The sequence below is a fragment of the Homo sapiens genome, chromosome 16, assembly GCF_000001405.40.
Source record: "Homo sapiens chromosome 16, GRCh38.p14 Primary Assembly".
NCBI classification, from domain to species: Eukaryota; Metazoa; Chordata; class Mammalia; order Primates; family Hominidae; genus Homo; species Homo sapiens.
The window spans coordinates 87,047,333-87,072,805 of record NC_000016.10 but is presented as its reverse complement, the minus strand read 5'-3'; the positions used below and the strand labels follow the sequence as shown (position 1 = coordinate 87,072,805).

Below are 25,473 nucleotides of genomic sequence, written 5' to 3'. Positions count from 1 at the left end.
GAGCCACCATGCCCTGCCTGTTTTTTTTTTTTTTTTTCAATAGTTTAAAAAATGGGATGAGTTGCTTCTTGATCTAATGGAGTTCCCAGTCTGGAAGAGTGTAGCAGGAGCTGCGAGAACATTCACCAGGGGCCGACATCTTCATTGAGTGTCTCTTCTCTGCCTGACACTGGACGAGGCTTTTGCGTGTTATCGTACAAGCCTCCCATGAATTCGATATGAGGGTCCCCATTCTGCCAATGGAAATGCCAAGGCTCCTCTAGCTCAGACAGTCTGCTCAAAAGCAAGGACTCAGCTACCAAAACCAGGTGTTTTTAGCTCTAAAGCCTCTGGGCTTAACCTCATTTTATGTTGCACAAGTCCCTGTCACAGTGACTTTGGAAACTGTCCGTTCTCCTATAGAAGGGCCATAGGTAGGGGCTGTAACCCCTGGAGTCTTTCCAGGCTCTCAGGAGAGATCCGCTGCCAGCTGACATCTGGAAAGGCAAGTGGGATCCTGAGTCAGCATATTTCGTCCGACGGCATCCTGGTGTCCAGGTAGGAAAACAGCCCTCCCGTGACTGTGGGCTCAGCCAAGCCTATTTTCCAGTCAAGTCTCCTCTGAATCCAGCGTTTTCCCCTTAGGCTTCCTTTCTGATTCCTGTTTCCTAAAACAGTTTTGGTGAAGAAATGAATGGAGTGGAACGTGTTTTTCTTAGCTCTTGGGTTTTCATAACCAGCCTTAGCAAGAGGCGGCCCCTCAAGTCACCTCCGCTTACGAGAGGCAGTCATGGCCTAGTGGCCAGGTGCCCAGACCCAGGACCAGGTGGTGGGGTTAAAATCCCAGCTCTCCCAGCACTTTGGGAGGCCGAGGTGGGTGGATTGCTTGAGGTCAGGAGTTGGAGACCAGGCTGGCCAACATAGTGAAACCCTGTCTCTACTAAAAATACAAAAAATATTAACTGGGCATGGTGGCATGTGCCTGTAATCCCAGCTACTCGGGAGGCTGAGGTGGGAGAATTGCTTGAACCTGGGAGGCGGAGGTTGCAGTGAGCTGAGATCGTACCACTGCACCAGCCTGGGTGACAAGAGTGAAACTCCGTCAGAAAAAAAGAAAAAAAAGAAAAAATCCCAGCGCTGCCACTTATGAGCTAAACAGCAGTTGGCAAATCACTTCTCCTCCCTTGACTTGGTTCTCTGACCTGTAAAATGGGAATGAAACAGCCTCTGCCTTCTAGGGGACTTGGTGCAGTGTGGTGAGGGTTATAGGTGTTAACATGTGCTAGGTACTTAGACTGGCTGGTTGGAAGCACCATATAAACATAAACTCTGACAATTTTTTCTTGTTTATGGTTAGAACTAGCTGAAGTTTATTTTTAAATGCCACCACCAGTTAAGAAGTGCCATATAAACATCTGTGGCTCAGACTAGAAAATAACGAGGAAGGACTGTGAATGGGAGGATCCCAATGTGTCAGGCATTTCCAGCACTCTCACTGTGCCTCTTCTGGTGCCTGACCGCCCCCACCCGCAAGAGATGGTCAACAGCCTCACGGAATATGAACAACACCCACCTTTAACATTTTGAGTGTGTATTTCATGCTAGATAGCACTGATGACCTCTAATCCTCACAGCCTGGGAAGTAGGTGAAATTTTACCCATGAGGGGAGTAAGCAAGGATCAGAGGTTCAGAAACGGCTGAAGTTCTCTGAGCCCGGAAGGGCAGGAATCGGGCTCCTGTTCACAGGGGCCTGAGATTCCAAATCCCAGTGCAAGGAGTTCCCCAGTGTCCCTCCTTTTTTGGCCTTCTGTGAAATGGGAGCTGGCTGGAAATGCATCCCCCCATTGTGGAGGGGCCAGGATCTGCTCCCCCAAGCTGCAACTGGCCTGGGTTCCAGTGCAGAGAGGAATCCCATCGCACAGGGGTTGCGCCATGCAGGGCTGGCGCTGGCCACAGCAACATCCTCCCAGCCTCTCCCTGTGTGCACAGCTTCTGAAGTCATGGGACCACCCCCGTCCTCCAACCTCCACCTAGAGGAGCCGGAGGAGGGCGCCTGAGTTTGTCCCACCACCACCCGGTGGCATCCCCTTGGCTGCAGAAATGGAGGAAACTGCAAGAGGGCTGGGCTGACGCTTGGTGTGGAGCATGGTCCCAGGGTCAGCCCAGCGGCCATGCCCGCATCCACAGTGGAATGATGGTGTCTGCAGATGTCTCTCCCCAGGGAGGACACCAGGGTGGCACTGCTTCTGGTTTATATGCACTGCTGTGTCCGTCTCTCTCCCTCCCCATCTCTATCTGTCTCTCTCTCCCTCCCTCTGTTTCTCTATCTCTGCCTATCTCTATCCCTCTTATATCTGTCTCTGTGTCTCTCTTTGTCTCTATCTCTGTCTCTCTCTTCTCTGTCCCTCTCTCTTTCTCTCTCTCTCTCTCTAACCAGGGACAGGGCCCATCTCCTGCCAAACCCGGCAGGGGGGACCATCTCCTGCCAAAGCCTGACGGGGAGGCACATGTTGAGCCAGGAACTCCCAGGTAAACCATCACCCCGGAGTCCCCTCCCAAAGGAGACCTCCTCTGTAAACCTGTGGCAGGTTTGCAGACCGTGGGTGGGCAGACTCAACCCTTCTCTCTGGCCTCCGAGGACGGGGTAGTATTATCCTTTAATCCCAGTTGACAGGCTTACACTGGACTGTAAATTGGTTCGCGTCAACTGCGAAAGGAAAGCAGAATTTCAGTTTATTTAAAGTGATCTTGTCACTGCACTCAGCGCCATGGGACATTAGCGTAACAAATAAAAATGAATGAGAATACAGTTTAAACAACTTGGCTTTCATTGTCGTCACTGCAGCAGACGCTCCAAACACCCCTGTCTTTGCTGAGATCAGTCTCAGAAAATGTCCTCCGAGATGGGACCCTGCACGGAGTGGCCTCAGGTGGGAGGCAGGAATAGCTGCGCATTGGTGCGAGTTTTTTGTTTTGTTTTGAACGTTGCTACTTTCTGAAAGTCTTTTCCCAGGAAATACCAAACTGGAAGAGAACAGGCGAAGAAAAAAAATCCTATCATTTTAGCAGTGAATTTTTTAAATTACTAGACTTTATTTTTTAGAGTAGTTTCACATTTACAGAAAAACTGAGCAGAAATAGAGTTCCCCTCTAATCCTCCCCATGCCCCTATTATTCTCGTCTTGCATTGGCGTGTTATGTTTGTTACAACCCATAAGCCAAAATGGATACATTATTATTAACTAAAGTCCACAGTCTGCATCAGGGTTGACTCTTGGTGTTGAATATTCTATGGGTTTGGACAAATGTAAAGAAAATGTAAAGAAAAATATCCAGCCCTAGAGTATCATACAAATAGTTTTGTCACTCTAAAAATCCCCTGTAGTGGTGACATTTTAAAGCAACTTAAAAAAAAAAAGGAACAGTCCCAACTTTCAGAGCTGCATAAAAAGCCCAGGAGTTGGATGCCTGATGAATACACAAGTGAGGACCGACTTATTCCCATCAGTGCTCGGCAAGGACCTGAAACATGGCTGCGGTAGAGGCACTGCACCCAGAGGATAGAACACGGCTCAGGAAGGGAGCAGAGGACAACATGGGGACGTCTATAGAACATATGAGTGCATATATGTACATATGTACACGAAGGGACGGCCTGTGGGGAGGTGTGTGCTGGCCCATTGGGTCGGGCTAGACTTTCCTTTCTCTGCTGGACTCAGGAGGCAGCGGTTGTGGGTGCCGGGGCTTGTTGATTCTGTGGGTGCATTGCCACATCCGTGACCGTGCAGCGGTGCCAGCACTGAGGCTGGCGGGCACCTACGCAGGAACCAGACTGAAGGCAGAGCCCCTCTCCTGCGCGTGCTCTCACCGACGCGTCTGGCACTGGGCTGTCCTCCCTTCCTGTGCAGGGACACTGCAAACACAGGCCTCCAGCCGCCTTTGCCCGGGGATCCAGAGATCATAAATTGCTCTCTTGCTTTCTGGGGGTCCAAGGTGAGTAAGCGGGTGGCCTCGTAAAGTCCCGCGGACAAAGCGGGTTCTTATGTCCACACAGCAGTGGCCTGCGGGACATGGCCACTCACGGCTCCGGGAGCTATGCGGCCGCAGCTCCCACTAGCCAGTGTCCTAAAATAGACGCTCACAGGCCCTGGTTGGTTCCAAAGTGTAGGGTCCAGAAGGTATTTGTGTATAAAAGAAACCCTCTCATGCCTGTGTGCGCTTGATTTATTTGCTCTAATTCATGATCCTTCACTTTCTGAAAGGCAGGCGCTGGATGAGATTCCTGGGGGCTGACACATTCCCCTCCCCGACCTCGGACGGCTGGGGCAGGATCCCTTTTGTGCTCCAAGTTGCCGGGAAGACAGGCCTTGGCCACTTTCCTCTCGCATTCCCTGGCTTTGGTGTTAAATAAGATGAAAAAGCACTAATTTGTAACACATCCCTGTGGGCTGTTGTCGCATTTGCTCGCTGATCTGCCCAAATCAGACATTAGCGGCGCACGCAGGGTCTTCTTGGGAGCTGCTCCTGGCCTCCCATATAATTCTGAATATACTCAAAGACGGTTCACTGACTGCGCTCTCCTGCATTTATTCTTCCAGCTGAAATTTTCCTGACTTTTTTCCCTCTCATTTTATTAGGTTAATAAAACTTGGTTTTCGAGCATTTGGCTGCCCCAGGAGGGCCATCGGCCCCATGTCCAATTCATCAGGCGCTAATGAGTGGCCTCGCAGGCCCCGGCCCTCCAGCCCCGAAGCTCTCCGTGGCTCGTAAAGGGGAGGCCCACGGGCTGTGCTGTATATTTTGTCTGTTGGTTTCCCAAATTCTCTCGCCAGCTCGACCGTCACTTTTTGGGATTTATTTGAGGCCGACAGCACCGTCAGGGAGCTCCTCCGCAGCCGGACCCTCCTCCCTGGCCCGGGCTCCACACACCCCACACACTCAGAGCCGTAAAATAAAGTCTGCAATAAAACGAAATAGAAATGTGTCGATGCTGCATTTTAGAACATTCCAGCAAAAGGCTCTGGGAAATGCCTTCGTTTACATTAAAGAGGGAAGCTCCGTGGGAGCAGGGGTAACACAGTCAGAAAAAGGGCCTCTAGGAGGAAGACACGACCTGGTGTTTCAAATAAATAAAGTAAAAATAAAACGCAGTCGGGTGTGCGCACGCATGAAATCTCTAAACTCTTTCTGCACGTACATTTATGTCGTCCCTGGTTTATTTTTTTGGCATTTTAGGGAAAGACCAGTGAAAGAGAAAAGTGTATGGCGCCTGCCTTCTGGGTCAAGGAACTGGGCTCTGTCTCCCTTCTAGAACATTCTTGTTTTCTCTTCCCCCACGGGTACACCCTCTCTCTCGCTCTCTCACCTTCACCAAGCTGTCAGCTCCCTGCTAGCCCCAGGCGTGGGGTTGTGTCAGCCACAACACGGTTGAAAACTAGAATGTGAGCAGCCAAGAGCCCGGGGAGTATTCACTGGCGCAGTGGCCTAGGACCCGGAGAGGTGGGCGGGGGAGACGGCCGCTAGGTTATTGGGTCCCCGAATGTCCACGTGGCAGCTGGCCTTGTCAGCGTTTGTAACAAGTGTCCTGGTCCCTCTCCTCCACCTTAAACATCTAGAAAACGCCTTGCCTTCCCTTGCACTCCACCCGGGCCTGTGCCACCGCTAATAAATCACGCCCCAGGCCTGCGGCTCCAGGGAACGTTACCTTGCCCCCCTTGGCGCCTGCCTTGAGCATGGAGGGCTCTGCGCATTCTGCATGCAGCAAAAGGAGAAATGCCAAAGCCGCCTCAGACGGTTCTCCTTTGAAATTTTCAGCACCGTCCTCCGTGTGGTATTGTCCACTTGGCCCCCACGCCAGGCAAAAGACTGTCCATACAATTGGCTGGGTTTGGGGGAAGTTCTTTGGGTCCCTAGGACATGAACAGGCAGGGTGGTGGCTCCCAGGCTGTGGGGGGCATAGCAGGGATCACTGCCCCTCTGCTACGGGGTCCTTGCACTTGTGGGCGAGGGGGATTCTAGGGCAGTCTCTGGGGTCACGGGGACTGTTCTCTGCCTTGGTAGAGGTGAAGGTCCCCTCACCTTCACACGCTAAGGCCTGCGTGGAGATGCCGGCTGGCTGCAGAGATGACAGGGCACCTCTTCTGAGTCACTGGCCCGGCTGGCATCTCCTTCCTCCAACTGGAGAAGATGCCACACAAAGGGCGTCACTCTCAGTGGTGGCTCAAGATGCCCACGGCCCGGGATCTGCACCGCAGCTTCGCACACCGTCCGGGGTGCCAGGGAGGCCCTGTGTTGTTGGTGGCTTAGACGCTGCACGTGGGGGGCCCTGAGCAGCCATTTCCATGGGGGCTTGGATGGAGTCGGCCGGTTTCCTGTCCCTTGAAGAGCCTCAGCCCAGCCCTGGCTTTTCTTGGTTGTCTCCATTAAAGCTCTAGGTTCTCAGGGGTCCTTGTTCAGAATGTCCTACCCGGAGCCGGCCCTTCTCCCCCGCACACTCCTCTTAGTAGATTATCTTCTGAAAATATACTTTGAAGGGCTTTTGTTTTGTTTTGTTTTCCCTACTTGACACTCTTGAATAAAGTAGGCCATTTATCTTTCGGGCAGAAGAATTTCAACAGTGAAGCTGCGCGGTGCAGGCTCCGTGCGGGGAGGCAGTTTTACGTTTTTTTTTCATCACGGGTTTATTTCTGTCTTAGCTTCCCCTAAAGTTTGTAGCCTTCCTCCCCTCCTTCTAACGAATCCCCCCAACTGTCATCCTCTCCCCTCACCCCCCTAAATGCATCCAGCCCACCTCAAGCTACTCGAACTGAAAGAAGCACTCATGGCCAGGCCGCGTGTTTGTTTAGGCTCACCCTGTGTTAGTCCATGTGAAATGCAACAGAATGGAGAAAAATGTAATTCTTTGCCGGCTTTTGATCAAAGAGAGGACTTTAAAAAAAAATTCAAGATGGATTTCTGAAGGACAATTTTATACACATGCTGCGTGTTTCGGAGCTCCAGTATTTAGGTGATTTTGGGGAAAAAAAAATCTTTTTTCCTCTTTTGATCCCAGAGAGAAAACACTCGCACAAACACATCTCCACCCCACAAACACTGCAAGATGCCATTTTTCATAAGTCTAACCGGCTGAAAAGAGGAAGCATTTCTCTTCCAATTTATCAACAACACAAGAGAATGTAAAATACGGCCCTACTGCAACAGGCAATCTCTTTCTTGCTTTTGTGGGAATTCAGAGCAAAGTTACCCTTGTTGCTGAGGCTAATTGCAGGACCCAGGATGTCCGGTCTGGGTCCTTGAAACACACATGCGTCCACACTTCCTCCATCCATCTTAATTTCACAACCAGCATTAAACGTACGTTTCTCCTCTAACTCCCTCAGCTTCAGAGCAAATGCAAATAAAAAGTGCTTAAAATGGCAAACATTTCCTGTCATTGAAGGCCTTCGTTAGGGTGGGGGTCGCTGAGTTCTAAAGTATATTTTCATAGGAAAACTCATTTCAGATCGTCGGCAGGAGCTTAGACTGTTCATACAGCGAAGTTTGGGGTTTGCGATCAGCCTGAATTTATTGCAGTCAAGTGACCCTTTATAGGATGTAGATGTAGGAGAGCAAAGATTCCAGATTCAAACTTGGATTAACCTGGGGCCCAGCTCAGGTCACAGGAAAAAATTAAAATATACTGAAAACTGTCCTCTTCCCCTCCCCTCCCTTCAATTCATTTTCTGTTCCATTATGGAAAAAAAACCCCAAATTTGGAATTTTAATGTTGTTTTTCCTCCATTGGTTGTTTAGTTAGTGATTTTGCCGACTTCCTGGATGTTCATTTCTGGTTCTGCACAAAAGAGTCACATTTCCTTTTGGAATCAGGACCAGGAGACAGAAGCGGACTCGGGAACTGTGAGTGCCCCCCGGTCTTCCCCGGCGCCTCTGACCCCTTCCTCCATCTCGCCGCCTTCCCTGCCTTCAGCGCGGAGTTCCCTTTCTCCAGGGCTTCTTGTCTGAACTCACCCCCTCGGCTCTCAGCACCATTCTCCACTTTTAGGAAAAGAAACTCTACAATTTCTATGCAAACATCGGATAAGAAGGGGAGGGGGAGTGACTTTGATTTTCATTTTAAGACTCTGAAAGACGGAGAAAGTAAGCAGAAGCGGGCTGGTGTATTTCAGAGGCTCCCAGTGAGTCCCTACTAAATTTACCTAATAAAATGAATTTTTAAAATTTTCGTTTTCTCATTTCATTCCAGCAGAAAATGAGTTTGCCTTTATAATGTCCAGATCTTTCCAACTCTATTGAGTGAGAAATTAACTTACAAAATTTAAATACTTTGGTACACACATGCACACACACCCGAAATGAAGTAAAGTGTGCCTGTAACACAATAGCAAGCCTGATTTTAGGGTCCTAGGACACATTTTTTTTAATGATGTGTAATAAAGAAAAATCAGATTCAGTTAAAAAAATTTCTCTCTTAAAATGGGTGAATTGTAATACTCAGTAAATTTAATTGTAATTTTTATTTGTTAATATAAGTTGCCTTTTTAAAATCTTCTGCACGTCTTGTCAAATTATTGAGAGGACTGCAAAGAAAACATATGTTAATGTGCTAGGCCACAGTTGACTCCTTTCCTTTCCACGAAACTAGTCCAAGTAGTGTAGGAAATTATGAAACTATAGAGTTCTCTGTGAAAAGAATACCCTGCCTTTCATTTCCAAGATAAAGCAATTAATACTGGAATTTCAAGGCAAATCTAATGATCAGTTAGGAGGGAAAAGGAGGAGGAAGGCAGGATGGTTATTTGCGTAAGAAAGTCCAGAAATCGACATCGGACAGATGTATCGTGGAATGTGATGATATTTATAAGGAAAAATCACATAAACTTTAAAAATGAAAGTTGTTTTGCTTAAACGACTGAAAAAAAGAATTCAGAATAATATTTGGGTTATCCTAGTTTTGTACGCTTGTGTTCACCAAAGCGTTCAGGGTCCAGGAGGATTAAAGAGCTCCATCACAAGGAGTGTTTTTGTGTGTGTGCATGCGTGTGCGTGTCTGTGTGCGCGTGTGTGCGTGTCTGGGTGCATGTGTGTGCGTGTATGTGCGCGCGCGTGTGTCTGGGTGCGTGTGTGTGCGCACGTGTGTGTCTGTGTGTGCGTGTGTGTGCGCGTGTGTGTGAGTGTGTGTGTCTCTACCCAGCTCTCCTACACCTTAGCCCCAAGGATGATGGGGAGAAAAATGTGGGAGCTGACTAGGTGGAACCAAATCTTTACTCCAGAAATTTATAGCTAATATAAAACTCTTAAAAATGAAAAAAAAACAGTTTTCTTACCTTTTTAAAAAGTCTTCTCTTTGGGGGGTTATGTCAGGGGATAGAGGAATGGGCTTGAGCCAGTTTTCAAAATTGCTATAGGCCAGGCGTGGTGGCTCCTGCCTGTAATCCCAGCACTTTGAGAGGCCGAGGCGGGAGGATCGCTTGAGCTCAGGAGTTTGAGACCAGCCTGGGAAACATAGCAATGCCCTGTCTCTACAAAAAATTTAAAAATTAGCCGGGCGTGGTGGTGTGCGCCTGTGTTCCCAGCTGCTCGGGAGGCTGAGGCAGGAGGGTCGCTTGAGCCCAGAAGGTCCAGACTGCATTGAGTGGAGATCGCACTACTGCACTCCAGCCTGAATGACAGAGTGAGACCGTCTCAAAACAAAAACAAAAACAAAAACCAACCAAAAAACCAAAACCAACTCCCTCCCCGCCCCCGAAACAACAACAACAACAACAAAACCCCCAAAAACCAAATTGCTATAGACCAATATTTCCAGGTCCCTGTGATTTTGATTAGAGAGTTTTGTTCTTGTTCTTCTGTTCCGTAAACTATGGTATTCTACCTCTTAAACGCATTTTTAAGCTTTCTAGTTTGGATGGCCTTAAACAGAGAAGCCCGTCCCTGGGTGGGGAGGTTTGTCCGCTGTCCAGTAGATGGCGCTGTGACTTCTAGAGTGAGGGGGGTGGGGGTGGGGACGACACCGCGTCGCAGCCCGAAGTCACAGGGGCCACCCCGTCGCCTCTCCCAGGGTGTATCCATCGGGCTCTAAACCCAAGAAGAAAAACTTTTTGAGGCCTCTCCTGAAATGTGCTAATCTATCAAAGAGCATTTATAGTATTTAAGCCAAATGTTAATTAACAAATAGCTCACCCTCCTCAAACAGTCTGAGATAGTGCCCAGCTAGAGTTTAAAGAAATACTTCCTGGAAATGTTTGAGATAAAAATGGAATAACGTAGTAGCTATTTCAATATTTTATCAGTTGCCCATATTTAAAAAAATAAAAGATCCTCACCTTTCTCCTAGAGTAATCATGAAGAACGTACATTTTATGTTATATGAAATGTTATGTGCGTAAAAATGGTCAAATGAAACCAGGCAGGTATAGATAATGGTAGTCTCGCCTTCTCAAAAAGCGTTTTCCTTTTCATGCAGTGGTGGCGTGAATACGCACCCTGGACATTGTATTTCACTACATCAGCACCTGCTAAAATGGTAAACCAGCTTCTTAGACGCGTTAAACCTCCACCTCCCTTGAGTGATTCCAGGGTAATCTTCTCCTCTTCCCCACTCAGAAAAGTTTCTAGTTTATTTTAAAAACAAACATTTTTCTATCCCCATCTCTTGCTACAGAGAATCTCAACTAAGGATGGTGCTTATCACTCTTCAACATATTTGATATTAAAATTAAAATAATTTTAAAACAATTTTGAATAATTTCAATGTTTAGACTCTTCATGGGATGACGTGATTTCTTACTATGTTTTAAGTAATGATTTGCGATATCTTTTTTTAATTTAAAAAGAAGTAGTGTGCATGTTGACAAGTATTGTAAACAAACTGGCATTCAACAACAGCAACAAAAAGATTTATTCCTTTTCCTAAGAATGATGTTATCCTTTATTCTGGAAAAAAAAAATGAAGCAGTATTCATTTGCCTCCAGTTTGAAATACTACTTAAAGACTTAGAAATATGTAAATGTAGCTTAGGACAATGACTTCATCGAGCCTGGTAGTAATTAATCTTGTACAGTTCTTTAAAAATTTAATTGAATGACATGTTAGTTTTATAGTTGTATGAATTTAAAAATTGTGCAAGTCACTCACTATTCATAACTCGAGCCTATGTATTAATAAAATGATTGTGCAAAAAACCAGCTGTTTAAATAAATTCTGTTCTGCTTTAAAGATTTTGCCCTTTGGGGAGAAAGTCATTTAAGTATTGAGTGGCAGTGGCCAGTGAACAATAGTCAAAATGTAAATAAATCTTCCTGAAACTTAGTTCTAATTTTCTTGAGCAAGATACTAACCCATAAAAAATAAACATTGTTTATTGAACCACGTTTGCATCAGTGAACCTTTGTAAAATGATATGGAGAAAATATGAACTTCTATGTCCCAAGTACTTTACTTTGCTTCCTTAGCAGAACAGAGAGAGCTATTCGATAGGTATGAACTGAAGAAAATAGAATTAGTGCCTCTGGTGAGAGAGTCATTCAGATTTGTACAGTTGCACGGAGGTGATCATACTAGAATTAACACCAAAAAATTGTGTCATTTGGCATCTTGGCTTAAGGGATAATTTAATTACACCACCTATTAGTGTTGACTTACGTTTCTGCGCCAGCCAGCCTTCTTATAATCTTGTTTATTTCCAGAAATCACATTTGTGACAGCTCTAATAGGCCATTCAACAGCAAAGATTTTCTCATTTAGTTGAAAATATTTCAGGCTTCAGAAACTAGCAAGGAAGGAAAGGCATATTTAGACTTCATATGTCAGAGTAAACTGATTTGGGGCAAGATTTAAAAACTGAACTCAACATGCCTGTTTGACCAATTTCAGCCTAAAATATTTTTATGTTTTAATTTGACAACTAAGCTGACAAGACTTCAGCTGATGCAGAGATTATTGCTCCGTCTGACTTGTGTGTGTGTGTGTGTGTGTGTAAGGGTAGAAAGTGGATCAGGCACGGTCTTTGCATGTGGGTTTACAGAAACACCTCAGAGGTTTGCATTGCCAGCAAGTGCGTCCATCTGCACCTATCACTGACTTGGAGTAATGGTGAACTCTTTCAGATTCTGGGTCCTGTGTTTGTAAACTTCCCACTTTTCGTTTTTTGAGAACGTTATTTTGATCTCTGCAAACGAAGGTGGGGAGATGTAGTTACTTCCCTCTTAACAGCTGAATGCAATCAGAGTGCTTTTGGGTGTTGTTTTAGTTAAGAGGCAAAAGAGAAGAGAAAAACACACCCAAACAAACCAGCAGACACACTTGGCATCCAGTGTTTAACGCTCACCCTTTAGTCCCGTCAGTGGGGGAGTGAATCCTGCAGGATACACCACGTTTCACGTCCTCCCCATTCTCCCTGCACCCCGTGAAATTCTCTTGGAAGGAGATGGAAAACTGTGGGGGTTTCATTTAAGGGTCAGCTCACATGTTTAAGCTGCATGTCAGGAAGAAGAAGGCTGAGATCCTTTGAGCAAACAAGTGCCAGAAACTGAAACCCCTGCCTGTCTCTTGTGCAACGCCTCCCCAGCGGTTTGGAGACTTGAGCATTTGAATGGGAGGCGTCCCAAACATTTCAGTCCAGATCTCCTCCAGGAGAGGGTGCTGGGGACCCAGGTCTCTCTCTAGGGCTTTGAAAGAGGCTTGCTCGGTGGAGACAGAAAACATGGGAGCAGTCCAGGGGAGCAGTTGGGCTTTCACAGAGCAAAAGCTGCCATGGCCATCCGGTTCCAGGCACTTGCCATGCAGACATGGGCATGAGGCCTAGCCAGGCCAGGAGCTTGGACAGGGCCACACTGCTACTCAGTGACAGAGGCTCTCCTGACCACTCCAGAGCGCCATACTTTTCCTTGGAACGCTAATCTTGGTCATTCAGTCCTTTAACAAATGCCTTAGTTTTTAATTTGTTAGGTGACCATCTCCCATGACTAGAATCTTTGTTGTGATTGCTATATTCCCAGTGCCTTGAGTGATCCATGAGCTGCACTTATAAGAAAGCTCGGTAATTATCCAGAGTTTACAAGGGAGCGGGTGCGGCATGGGATAACTCAATGCTACCTCCCAACAAGTCAATGAGGTAGGAAATGTCATTACTCCCATTTGACAATCAAGGAAACTGAGTCCCTGAGAGGTTGAGTGAAATTTGCAAGGCCACACAGCTAGTGTGGAGAGTTGTGGGGCAACAGGGATTTGAATCCAGGCTGTCAGATCGAGGACCACACATTCTTAACTGGGCCTCATAGTGCTTTGGTAAATAAATATTGGTTGAGTGAATAAATAAGAAGATGAAATTGAAAAACAGTGGGGTGCGATGTCTGCAGCGAGAGTTTCAGAGGAGGGCAGATTTGGGTTCACACAGGCCTTTACTCTCGTTTACTGATGACCGGTAAATTCCTTAAATTTTCTGAGCCTCGACAGTTTCCTCCTACATGAAATGGAACTAACCATCTTTCTTTCTGGGTTGGGAAGACTTGAGCTTGTGAATGAAGGACTTGGCCCATAGCAAGTGCTGAATAAAGGGCTGCATTATGACTATCTCTGGGCCAGCCCCCAAAGCCCAGACGTAAGCGGGCAGAGGAGCTGCTGCCCGTAACACATCTCTGACTCCAACCAACTGGGTGACCCTGGTAAGTTTCTCAGCTTGCTGTGTCTTGCTTTTCTCTTCTGTAGAGGATGGCTCACTCTTAGTTCCTGCCTGGAAGGCTTGCATGAGGAAAGGGGGCCAGGCCCAAAGTCAGTACTGAATGATCGTCCACTTGGAGGTTCACATTAGGCACTTGTATCCTTGCGGCACTCACATGTTGGGATGCGTGGCCCACTGGTGGCTGGCGGGAATGCCCGCGCTCGGTCATGCTTCGGTGCTTTTGCACACGCTGGCCCTTCGCCCTGGAGTGTTTTTCCAACCAGTGAATCTCCTTTCACCACTTAAGTGCACTGCGTCGCTGAAGGGTAATTATCTGAGTGTTCCAACTCTCCCTCTTGCCCTTTCTGGGCTGTTCTATCCGAGAGCATATTTGTCACTTAGCGCTGGGTCACCTGGGTTACCCATCTCTCTGACTGTGGAGTGTGAGGGTTAACTCACGTCATCCCAGACCAACTTGGTAAAACGCCCCTGGCCACATTTCCCTACGGATACAAGATGTAAGGGTGTGACATTGTGGTAGAAGAAGGCATGAGTGTGATAGAAGAAGGCATGAGTGTGGCAAAAGGAAGCTTTGTTTCTAAGATCTCCAAACCCAGGCCCACGAGCGGCATCCATGCATTCACTCTTGCAGCTGGTTGCCGTTCAATCAGCAAGGAGTATTTATTGAGCACCTGCTATGTGCCCGGCACTTGAGTGGCTCTAGGTTTAAGGCTATGAACAAGAGACCAGGGCGACCCTTACCCCTCCACAGCTTATCAGAAGGACGACACCGCACGGGCGATAGCAGGCCTGGGTGTGGCAGGCTTGGTGGGGATGGTGGGTGTCTCAAGGAGGAAGTTTCAGGGAAGGCTTTGGAGACGGGGCCTCTGAGCTGAGGTGCAAAGGATTAGCCTGGTGTAGGGACGGGGCAGAGGCTTTGCAGGCACGGGGAGTGGAGGGTGCAAGACCGCGGCGAGGGGGCCGGCGAGGGGGGCGTGGGAGTCGGGGCAGGACCCTGCTGGACACCTGGTCTGTCCTCAGTGCCGCTTTCCCCAGGGCCACACAGGCTGGCTCTGGTTATACCCATTTTACAGACGGAGACACTGAGATCAGGGAGCACCGGTGGCCCTGGGAAATGGCCGGGCCTGCTCGTTAATCCCCAGGTGAGCGGGATTCGCTGGCCTGGGGGGCTCCTCTCCCAAGAGACCATCTCCAGGGACGTCATAGTTCATGTCCTGAGCAAGCCGGCAGGCTGGTTTTACCAAGAAAGTAAATAGGTAAATAAAACAAGTAATACAATAAAACAAAGAAACCGATCAACGACATCTTGACCTTAGTATGCCCGGGTGGTCTGCTTTTCGGTGTCCCCAAGGAGAGAGGAAATGTTGTAATTGGATGGCATTGCTGTCAATCATCTCAGATTGGCGGAGGCTGCGGAACCCCTGGGCCTGGGAGGTTGTTGCCATGGAGACGGCCTGCGGCCATGCGGGGCGGGAAGCCCCCTCCTCCTCTCCTGGCCGCCATGCCTGTGGCCTCAGGAGACAAGGTGAATGCCGCACCTGTGGACTCTCAGCCCGTCTAGGAGGAGGATAAAGCACAAATCCGAAATGCAGTGTCCCTGGAAGGGACGCCCTCTCTGGGCCCGCTGGCTCCCGTCTCATTGGGCTGAATGGGGTCATGTGACCACTCTCCGCTGCAAAGGAGTCTGGGAAATTGCATTTTGTTGTTGTTGGAACTCATTTTGAAGCCAAATGAAACGAGAATCGTGTCAACGAGGAAGGTTTAGGGAGGGGGTGGATGTGTAGGCAACCAGCAGAGGGCCCCGAAATCCGTGAAGATCAGGTCTGACGGTGGCTCCATGCTCCCTCCATTAAAGGGCTTCACAAAAACCCTTCCGAAAAGGTATTTCTTGTTTAATATTCGGAATATTTCACTCACTGCCTCATTAGAAAGACAATAAATTAATGTGTTCACGACTTAGAAAAATCAGGAGGAATTAGAGGAATCGGGATTTTTGGGCCAAGAGTCTCCTTGAAATAGGCGCGGGTCGTTGATGATTATCTTTCCACACGGAAGGAAATCCAGGCTCAGGAAGGTCTGGTGATTTTCCCAGAGTCACACAGGCAGAGGGACTCAGACCACAGAACCCCTGCCTGGCTCCAGAATCCCAGCCGCGATGGGCGATGCGGGGGAGTCATCGCAGGTGGGGGCCTGGGAGGCCTGGGAGGCCTGATCTCATCCTCCAGTGTGGCCCTGCCATGTTGCGCCCTGGGGTACCCAGGGCTTCCTCCCCCTCCTCCCGCCCTACCCGGCCCACACCTCTCAGGCTCCCGGTTGGTCAGGGATTTTTTGCAAGTCAGTTATCTGAGCTCAGACTGCTGGCCGTGGAGGGAACCCTTCTCACTGCCTCTGGCTGAAAGCGTTTGCCTCACCTCTCTAAGCCCCGAGGGGACAGAGGAGGCTCTATTGCAGCGGGCGGGCCTGACAGGTCACAAGGAGAGCCCAGATGTGCCGGCAGCCGCCTGTGTTTACACCCATCCCCAAGCATCGCAGCATCGGGGGCAAGACGCTAAGTTTCTCTCAGGTCGTGGCTTCCTCATCATGAGAGTGGGCAGCACACGGCCCCCCACGGGGCTCTTGTGGGGTCTGAGAGAGGAGTGTGGTCACATGGCGCCCGGCCTGCAGAGACAGCATGAGGGCTGTGGATGCCAAGGCCAGTATCTGCCGTGGCGGCCACAGCCCTCATGCCTCCCTGTCAGGAGGCACCAACAAGGCAGTGGGACAATGCGCCCCTTTCTCAGTCTGAGTCCTGTAACCTCTCAGCCTTGGATTCCCGGTCTGCAGTAGGGGAAAATTCCCCAGATCTCCCTCATAGGGGTGCTGTGAGCATGAGAGAGAAAAGCATTGCAATGATGAGTAGTTACTGAGCACCATGAGTAGTTACTAAGCACTGCTCACTTGCCAGGCTCCTGGCTGGCCCTTCTTCTCTCTTCTGCAGAGCTGGGCATCAGAGCACACTGAGCAGCAGGATGAAATGCCCACAGAGCTTCTGAGGCCAAGTCCTGTCTGACAGGTAGGAGGTGGGCCCATGACAAATGACCTTGCCTTCCTAACTCCTTGATTAACTTATCCATCCATGAATGCGCAAAGGCAGTCCCAACACCTCACTAGAACCCATTCCTGGAAACTCCGTTGTAAAGTAAGGAATAAAATTGGTCGGCAGGAATCAGCTTAGAAATAACAACACAGTAAAGTCACGTTCCTGAAAATGGACTGTGCACTGATGAAGTCATATTGAAGATAAAGGGCCTGCTGTTAAGGCAGAGCCCAGGGACACTTATCCTATGTAACCATTTCAACTGGAGAACAATTTCACCCAGTCTAGGACATGGCAGACTATGAACACACCTGTTATCCCGGACACCTGATCTGCCATAGAGCAGCCCTGATGCCTACACAAACCCACTCTCTTGTTTATTGCAATTAGCTTTTTCTATTTTTTTTTTTTTTTGGTCTTAGGTCTACTTTATGATTCAGTAAACATTGAATTAACAATCCATTTTTCTTCTTAGAATGTTGAAGGCCGTTAGGGCATTATATGGAAGGAAAATATTTTCTTAGGAAACCCTGATCTTATTTTCCCTTTCTCTGCCAGAAAAGGTTCCAAAATTCATCTTCACACCTCAGCACCATCCTAGGGGGTTCAACTCATTTAGCTGCTAATGTGGTTTCTCTCCCATAAAAAAAAAATTCTTCAAAAAAGAACTTTGAAGTAAAGTCCCCGTCAGGTGACACAGATGCCAAGTAGGAATGCACTGGGCTTCAAATCACAATAACCCAACTTAAGATGGCTTAAACAAGGGCAGGCTTGTCCTTATCATGCAGTAAGGATGTCGGAGGAAGGCAGCCTCGGGTATCTACTCAGCTATTCACCAGCGGCAGAGATGGCACCTTCTTCCTGCTTGTAGTGGTGTCCCGTGGCTGCTGTAACAAATGCCCATCAACTCAGTGGCTTAAAACACACATGCTTTTATCATCTTAGGGCTCTGTAGTGTAGAAGTTCAGTGCTGGTCTCACCGGGCTAAAATCAAGGTGTAGGAAGGGCTGGTTCCTTCTGGGGAGACCCCTCTGATGATGCCAGGGTCTGAAGATGAATTTGGGATGTCTCTGGAACCTTTTCTGGCAAAGGAAGGGACAGTAAGATCAGGGGTCCCTGAGTGTGTTTCCTGGGAAAATGTTTCCATGAATGTCATGCCGAGTCCTTGCCTTCTCCAGCTTCCAGAGGCTGCCTCATTCTTTGGCTCATGGCCCATTCCTTCGTCTTCAAAGACAGCAGGGTCCCATCTATCCCTCCACCCTCTGCATCCGTTTCTTCTATGACTTCCTCTTCCAGCTCTATTTTCCACTTTTATGGAGCCTGTGCTTACACTGGACTCACTCAGATAATCCAGGACTATCTCTTTATTTTAAGGTCAGCTGATTAGCAACCTACTTCCATCTGCAACTCCAGTGTCCTGGTTCTGGAGTTTAGGATGTGGACATCTCTTGGGGGGCTAATATGATGTCTACCACATTGCTATTGTCTGTTCTGTCATGGCCTCAACATGGCTGCTAGATCTCCAGACATCAGATCTGTATTCACAGAGGGAAGAGAGGAGAAGGTTACTAGCGCTGTGCCTTTTGATTAAGAAAACAAAAGGTTTCCCGGAAGTGTCCCAACAGACTCTGTTTGTATCCCATGGGTCACATGGTCACATCTAGCTGCAAGGGATGCTGGCAAGGTATACAATAGGCAGGAGGCAGCAAGGGAGAAGTTGTGTGCCAGTGACTCAAGGAGGCACATCCGTGGAATCTGTGCAGCCTCCTCCCAGATCCTTAATTTCAGCAAATCCTTGAGGACAGGCCACCCGTAATAGGAAGTGGTGGCTTCCAAAGTGTTTCTTTATGGCTTTCTAGTGGAATATAGTTTATAGGCGCTCTGGGAGTTCTAAAACAGAACTTTAATATCTACCCCTGGAATTGTGCGGGAGGCCATGGGCTTTGGAATGGGCTGACCTGGGTTCTAGCACCTTTTTGACTTGAGAACTAGAGAGAATGTGTGCATAAGTTAAGCTCTCCCTAGCTCGAAAACGCTTCATAACCTGGCATACATCAGTTTCCTCATGGGGTAAATGGTACTGGTAAGGGCGTGAGGCTTGCAGGCCTCTGTGAGGTGAGATGGGATCATACAGAAGAGTTCAGAGCATCTCAGGGTCCTCAGCCGCCAGCCGTTAACCAAACCCACATGATCACAGCGAGGCCTGGAAGAATGCAGAGGGGTAGTTTCCACCTGCAGCACCTTTTAGCAGGTGGGGAAACTGAGGCACAGAGACAAGCGGCCACTCTTCCAGGCCTCCGCAACCAGTATGTGTTAGGGTGGAGCTAAAGTCAGCCTGAGGAGTGATTTCAGGGATGAGCAAAATCAGCGACCAGGGTCCCCGGTCAGTGTGGGTCCCCCTGCCCTGACCCTGGGCCCCCTCCCCAACAAGGTCCTGTCCCAAGGTGGGTGAAGGGTGAAGGGGCCTGCGCAGCTCCCCTGCTGGCGGGCGGGTGCTTCCCTGCCAGGCTGTTTGTTTTGGGCATCTTTCTCATGTCCTCCAAGCTTGCCGCCAGCAGTGTGCTCCCCGGGGGGATGCCGGCGGTGAGAACCTGGGAACTGCCTCTTATCTCTGCAGAGCAGGATGTGTCCTGTGCTGCGCGTCCCCGGTGAGCTTTCCAAGCGCTGTGATGAGCTTGCAGATTTCAGCAGGCGATTGCTCCGGCCGTCCCCCGCCAGCCTTGGGGGGGCTGTGTTTTGTTTCCCAGGCCCCTCGGCACCGCACCAGGTATCCTGCCACCTCCTGCTCCCGTGTCCCTGGCCTTTCAGCTGCTCTGAGTCCATGATCGCCCCTGTAGGTCCGGCCCAGCCGACGGCCAGTGAGAAATGGCACGGGGTGAACTCCTGTTTCCGCCCATTCTTTGTGCAGGGGCAGTGGGTGGTTCCCAGCTGGGGAGGGCTGGGGGCGGGGGGAGGGGGGGCGCAGTGCCCCACATGGCCCTCGGAGGCGCTGTGCAGGCCCGGTTCCGCCCTCATCCCATCCCATCCATACCAACTTCTGAAAGGTGCTCCGACCCAGTGGTGAGTGGATGGAAACAGGTAATTAACCTAATTATACAATGGAGTGTGGGCAGGGCGTCTCAATCTTACCTCCAGTGATATTTGTTTAAAATGCAGATTCTCAGGTCCTGGGGTTCGGCGAGGCACATTCGAACTGGGGTAGGACCCATGATTCTTAATTTACACCAGGCCTCCAGCGATTCTTCTGATGTGGCAAATTTGGGAAAATACTGGCCTGGCAGTTTGGCCCAGGCTCTGGAAACAGGCTAAGTTCCAACTTCACTGCAATCCCCGGTCACTGCGCCTCTTGGAGCTTCTCAGACCACAGTCTCCTCTTCTGTTGACTGGGTCTGATGTTATCTTCCTTCTGTGATTGTTGGGAGAAATCCCAGAGTGCTCTGCACACAGCCAAGCATCCACTGGGTGTTCAGGAAAGGATTAATGCTTATTGTCCAGATGATATTCAAAGACAGAAATCTCCTGGCAAGGTTTCTGATAATCACAAAAACCAGACAGAGCAAACTGAGCTAATTGGGTTGGAGTTAAAAGTAGAGACCTTGAATGTTTTGAGCACACTTGGTGGCCTCGTTTTAGGCATGAACACAATTTCCATTGGAAAATTTTAAACATTGACAGCAATAGAAGGGACTCCATTTCTTTGCTGTCCTCTGTATCCAGGAGCCCTTAAGGAGATCACTGAGTAACTGTGGGGTTCTCAGAGCTGAAGGCATTGGGGCAAGAGAGGGGGTTGAGTCTTCTCAGGATACAGCACGTTGATGAAAGAACCAGCACAGTCGAACATGCATCCCACAAGGAGACATACAGCGGCAAGGAAGGACCCTGCGAGGCCATTGGAGACACTGCTGTCAGATGGGATGAGCAGGCCCCTTCTGGCAGCATCTGTTGAGTTAGCATCAGGCTGGACCACAGAGACGATGCCTGCAAGAGCTGCAAACGCAGGCCATCCCGCCAGCTCTCGTGCAGGAGATGCTAGCTCCTCATCAGGCTCTGAGCCAAGCACATCATCTGCCTTCTGCCCCTCAGTTTCCTAGTGTGTAAAATGAGGATGTTGTGACTCTTACTCCATCAGTCCTTAGGAGGATTCAGGGAGGTGAGGCATAGGAAGTGCTCTGCTTGGTCGCTAGCGAACATCGGTGTTGGTAGAGTTATTTCTTTTTTTACACGTAGGAGAACTGGAGCAGGCATGGCAGAATTCCTCACTAGCAGAAGACCCCCTGGCAGACGTGGAGAGATCTGAGCCACTATAGACACGGCAGCAGGACAGGGCTCTGGAGGAGGGACCTGAGCGGTAGCCTTGGTCCACTGCAGACATCAGCAAGTTCTTAGATCAGGCGGGGAACCGGTCCACCCACTCATGCTCTGGTTTAGCTCCCTACTCTGCTTTCTGAGAGTCAGTTTGGAAGGGAACCTAGCGGAGCTCCTCAGAGTCTCAGGGTCCTTGTCTTTGATGAACTTTCTGCTTGGTCATAGGCAGCCTCTGAATATTCTCTCCTCCCAAGGTTTCTGTTGATCCCAAGCAGGAGGCGCGTGCGCAGAGCTGGTTTATGCCGATTGGCTTGTGTTTTGCCAAGCAAGGGTGCAATGAAATGGGAAGAGTGGGGGCTGCAGGAACGGCCTCATGCTGTATTTCTGAGAGGTGTTTTTCTGCAACAGGAACACATATACACACATGTGCTCACCAACACACAATTCCCCTGTACACACACACACATTACATGACATGCATATACACACACTGTACACATTCATTCACATGCACAGAACATGCACCAACATACATGTACACACACACACACACACACACACACACACACAAGGGGACTGACTTTGGAAACCCAAGTCAAGCCCATCCTCCATGACCCAACCCGAGCTCCTTCCTCCCCTCCACCTGAGACGCGGCTGCTTCTGTGCATTAGGTCGTTCTGTTCCTGTTGAATTCAGGCTCCACCACTGTGGGGTCTTGGTCATATTGCTGAATGGCCCTGATGCTCAGCTTCCTTGTCTGTGAAGTGGACACAGTAACAGCGCTTACCTCATTGGGCCACGTGGAACCTGTGCAGAGAAAAGGGTTAGGAGAAGGCCTGTGCATTGCAAGGCTCCTGCTGCCTGATCACCTGAAGTCACATCACTGTCACTTGCCTGATTGCCCCTAAGCCACATCACCATCCCCTTTCCATGCTGACCTTCTCTTCCAAAAGGCCCCTGTGGGCTTCCAAAACTTTTGAATGTCACCAGCTTGACATTCTGTCTGGTTTGCTGGAGCAAGATGTTAGGTAAGTCATTTCATTTGCGTGTCTTCTTCGGGGTAACAAATGTGGCCTCATATTAACTTACGGACCAGTAGGGCTCAGGATCTCCAAGAGAGGTCTGCAGATAAAGGCTTATTGAGGGATGGAACTAGAATGATTCATTTATTCAAACACAGATGGCGCCTGCCCAGCCTGGGCAATGGGGACAGGGAGATGAATATACTCAGCCCCTGCTCAGGAGCTCACACTCTGGGGAGAACGAGAAAGGAAGGAAACAAACGACTGGTTGTGTGGCCAGGCATCCCCCGTGCGGGCCAAGTGCCTGCCCAGTACTCGGGGGAGATGAGCATCACAGCTCCCGACCTCAAAGGGTGGGGACACTGGGACCCGTGAAGTCAGCACGGACATAGCTGGGACAGAAGTGATGACGTCTTTAGTTATGAGCAGGAACCGTCCAGGTGGCCAAGGGGCAGACACGTTTCCACCAAAGAGAATGGCCACTGTCAGAACTCAGGCATGCGCTGCAGTGGGGACTGACAGTGGCTTAGGAAGGGGTCGGTGGACGGCAGGATGGGTCTGCCTCTGACCTACCAATGAATGAACGCTGGGTGGGTGGGAGGGTCTCAAGACAGGCTGGCTTTATGTGGGTGTCTCAATGCAGGTAGCTTCTGAGACCTGGAATTGTCCCTGGAAAGCCCTAGTTCATGCGTAGATAAATTGGTCACTCGCTGATGATGGCACCACTTGTGTAATTTAAGGCCTTGTTCTTCTATATTTCCTGTCAAAGAACTTCTAACAGAGGAGGATCCCCTTTCCAGGAGTGTGGGCCATAGACCAAAACCTGCCCAAGCACCAGCGTTTGGGCATTTCTTTATGTGAAAAGTCTGAGCCCATTTGTTCCATATTCCTGACTATATACACATTTATTGTTGAAAGCCATTGCTTCCTCTTCCCCCACTCTTATTTTGGTAAAAATGATAATATTGGATCATCATGTTGATCTTGGGTCTTGATATGGTTTTGCTGTGTCCTCACCCAAATCTCACCTTGAATCGTAGCTCCCATAATTCCCTTGTGTTGTGGGAGGGACCAGGTGGGAGATAACTGAATCATGGGGGTGGTTTCCCCCATACTGTTCTCATGGTACTGAATAAGTCTCATGAGATCTGATGGCTTTATAAGGGGAAACCCCTTTTGCTTGGTTCTCTGATTCTCTCTTGTCTGCCACCATGTAAGACACTCTTTTCACTTTTTGCCAAGATTGTGAAACCTCCCCAGCCACGTGGAACTGTGAGCCATTAGACCTCTCCCCAGCCACGTGGAACTGTGAGCCATTAGACCTCTCCCCAGCCACGTGGAACTGTGAGCCATTAGACCTCTCCCCAGCCACGTGGAACTGTGAGCCATTAGACCTCTTTTTCTTTGTAAATGACCCAGTCTCGGGTATGTCTTTATCAGCAGCGTGAAAACAGACTAATATAGGTCTTCTCCGAGCCTCTTGTTTGAAAAGCCAAATGGATCTGAAGGTGGTAACATGAAGTGCAATCTCCTCTTCCTCAGTATCAGTCATTTGCACCTTAGCAAGAATGGGACACAATCTTAAGGGCAAGTTTTCAATGACAACACGAGATGAGACACCCTAAAACCCAAGGTCCCTGTGCAGGTCGGGAGAAGGGAATACTGACCTCTAAAAAGAGTCAAATGTAACGCAGAGTCGGAATAAGTATATTTGTCAGTTTCTCTCTGGGGTCTTGGCCTCCCCATCACTCTCTGCTGTGGGAGCTGCTGTTACTAGAATCCTCTTGGCAAAGATTGGGGACGAGAGGCTTCCATGGAAACTTCCGTCCCCGGCCAGGCGCTCAGTGTTCGTCTCTCCTTGGTTTCCTTCTGCTCCAACCCAGGGCAGAGGAAGCTTCTGATGTGCTGCTCTTTTGTACCTGCCCATTTTCACAGGTTTGTCAGAGCATGAGAAGTATCAGTGCCTGGGCTCTTCTTAAAATATTTGGACTTTTCCAAGCCCTTACACAAACCTTTAGCTTGGCTTAGTAGGTACAACATGTCTACTGTGTATTAATAAAGTTTTTATCAAATTGTTTTTAAAAATCCAATGGAATCTTGGTTGTATACATTCAGAGTGTCTGCTTCCTCACTTAGTTTCAAATCCCATTCCCACTACTGGCCAGCTGTGTGACTTTGGGTAAGTTAGTTAACCTCTCTGTGCCACAGTTTTCTATAAATGGGGGAGAAAAACAGTGCTTAGGTTATTGTGAGGATTAATAAGTGAGTATGTGTGAAGTGCTGGAAATGGTTCCTGGTACATGTGACTTCCATAACTATTGGAGGGGTTTGTCCCCATCCCTGGAAAGAACAATGTGATTTTCAAAACAGACACTGGACTGTGATCCGTTGCAGTGCGAGACCACTCTGCCGTGTGCTGAAAGCCTCACTATAGTAACTCCAGCTCACGGAAACTCAAAGGGGTGAATTGACAGACAGTCACATACGGGTTTTTGGCAGCAGGTTGATCCCCATGTGGGGTGCCCCCCTGTTTGTGCTGATGGAGAAACAGTGCCTCCCGGGGGGCTGCCCCGGGGCAGGCAGGCCGCGGACAAAGCTGTAGGGGGACATGATGGGGTCTGAGCCTCTAGCTTGCTGTTTCCAGAAACAGCATGCTTTGAGCTTGCAGAACTGTCTGGCCCCCCAAATGCACTTGGGTCTCAGGGCCTCTGGGCCTGTGATCTCCCTAGGCAGGCCCCAGGGGCCTGTGTGCAGGGCCCCTCTGTTTGGGGTGGGACGCATGTCATTTGTCAGTGGCATGGGGTGACTTGCTGGGCACCCCTTGCAGCGAGCTTGCGGAGTTCAAGGCTGGGCGCACCTCAGCTCTCATTATCAGATCTAATTGTGGGCTCGGATTTCACAAATCGGGGCCTGTGCAGGTGGAGGACAAGCGGCAGAGGTCATGCCTAAAAGCTTATTAAGCTGCCGGTGTGAAAGGTAAGGCCATCTGGTTGCCATTTGACAACTTAAGTGGTAATTACACCATTTGGCACAGGAATTAGTGAGAGCTGGGGCTTGAACTGTGGCAGGGACCACTTTTTTTTCTGCAGGAGGGTGGCTTGGGGCAGTCCCGATCCTAGCAGCTCACAGTCCTAGCCGCTGTTTGTGGCTTACAGGTTCTCTGCCCAGCTCCTTGGATGGGCAGGCTTGATAACCAGGAACACCTGCCTTTTCAGCTCTCCTGTCCAGGGAAGGGAGGTGGGCAGCGGGGGCAGCTTCCAGCAACATTCCACCCCAGCAATATGGAAGTGCTTAAGCAGGGTTTGCACCAGGCAGGGTAGCTGAGATCTGAACCTTTAAATTACAGCCATTCCCGGGCTGAGGAAAAGTAAATAAACAGTTCACAGCTGCAGCCAACTCAACACAGAAACG

The 25,473-nt window shown here is 49.2% G+C and overlaps 1 long non-coding RNA gene across 1 annotated transcript; it reads right to left on the bottom strand.

Annotated features, from left to right (window-relative positions):
- Positions 1 to 8,814: 8,814 nt before the first annotated feature.
- Positions 8,815 to 15,022, bottom strand: LINC02181 (long intergenic non-protein coding RNA 2181). Its single transcript, NR_126008.1, has 3 exons — positions 12,307 to 15,022; positions 11,622 to 11,748; positions 8,815 to 10,054 (listed from the first exon to the last, which is right to left on the bottom strand). It is a non-coding gene; the product is annotated as a long intergenic non-protein coding RNA 2181 (long non-coding RNA).
- Positions 15,023 to 25,473: the final 10,451 nt, after the last annotated feature.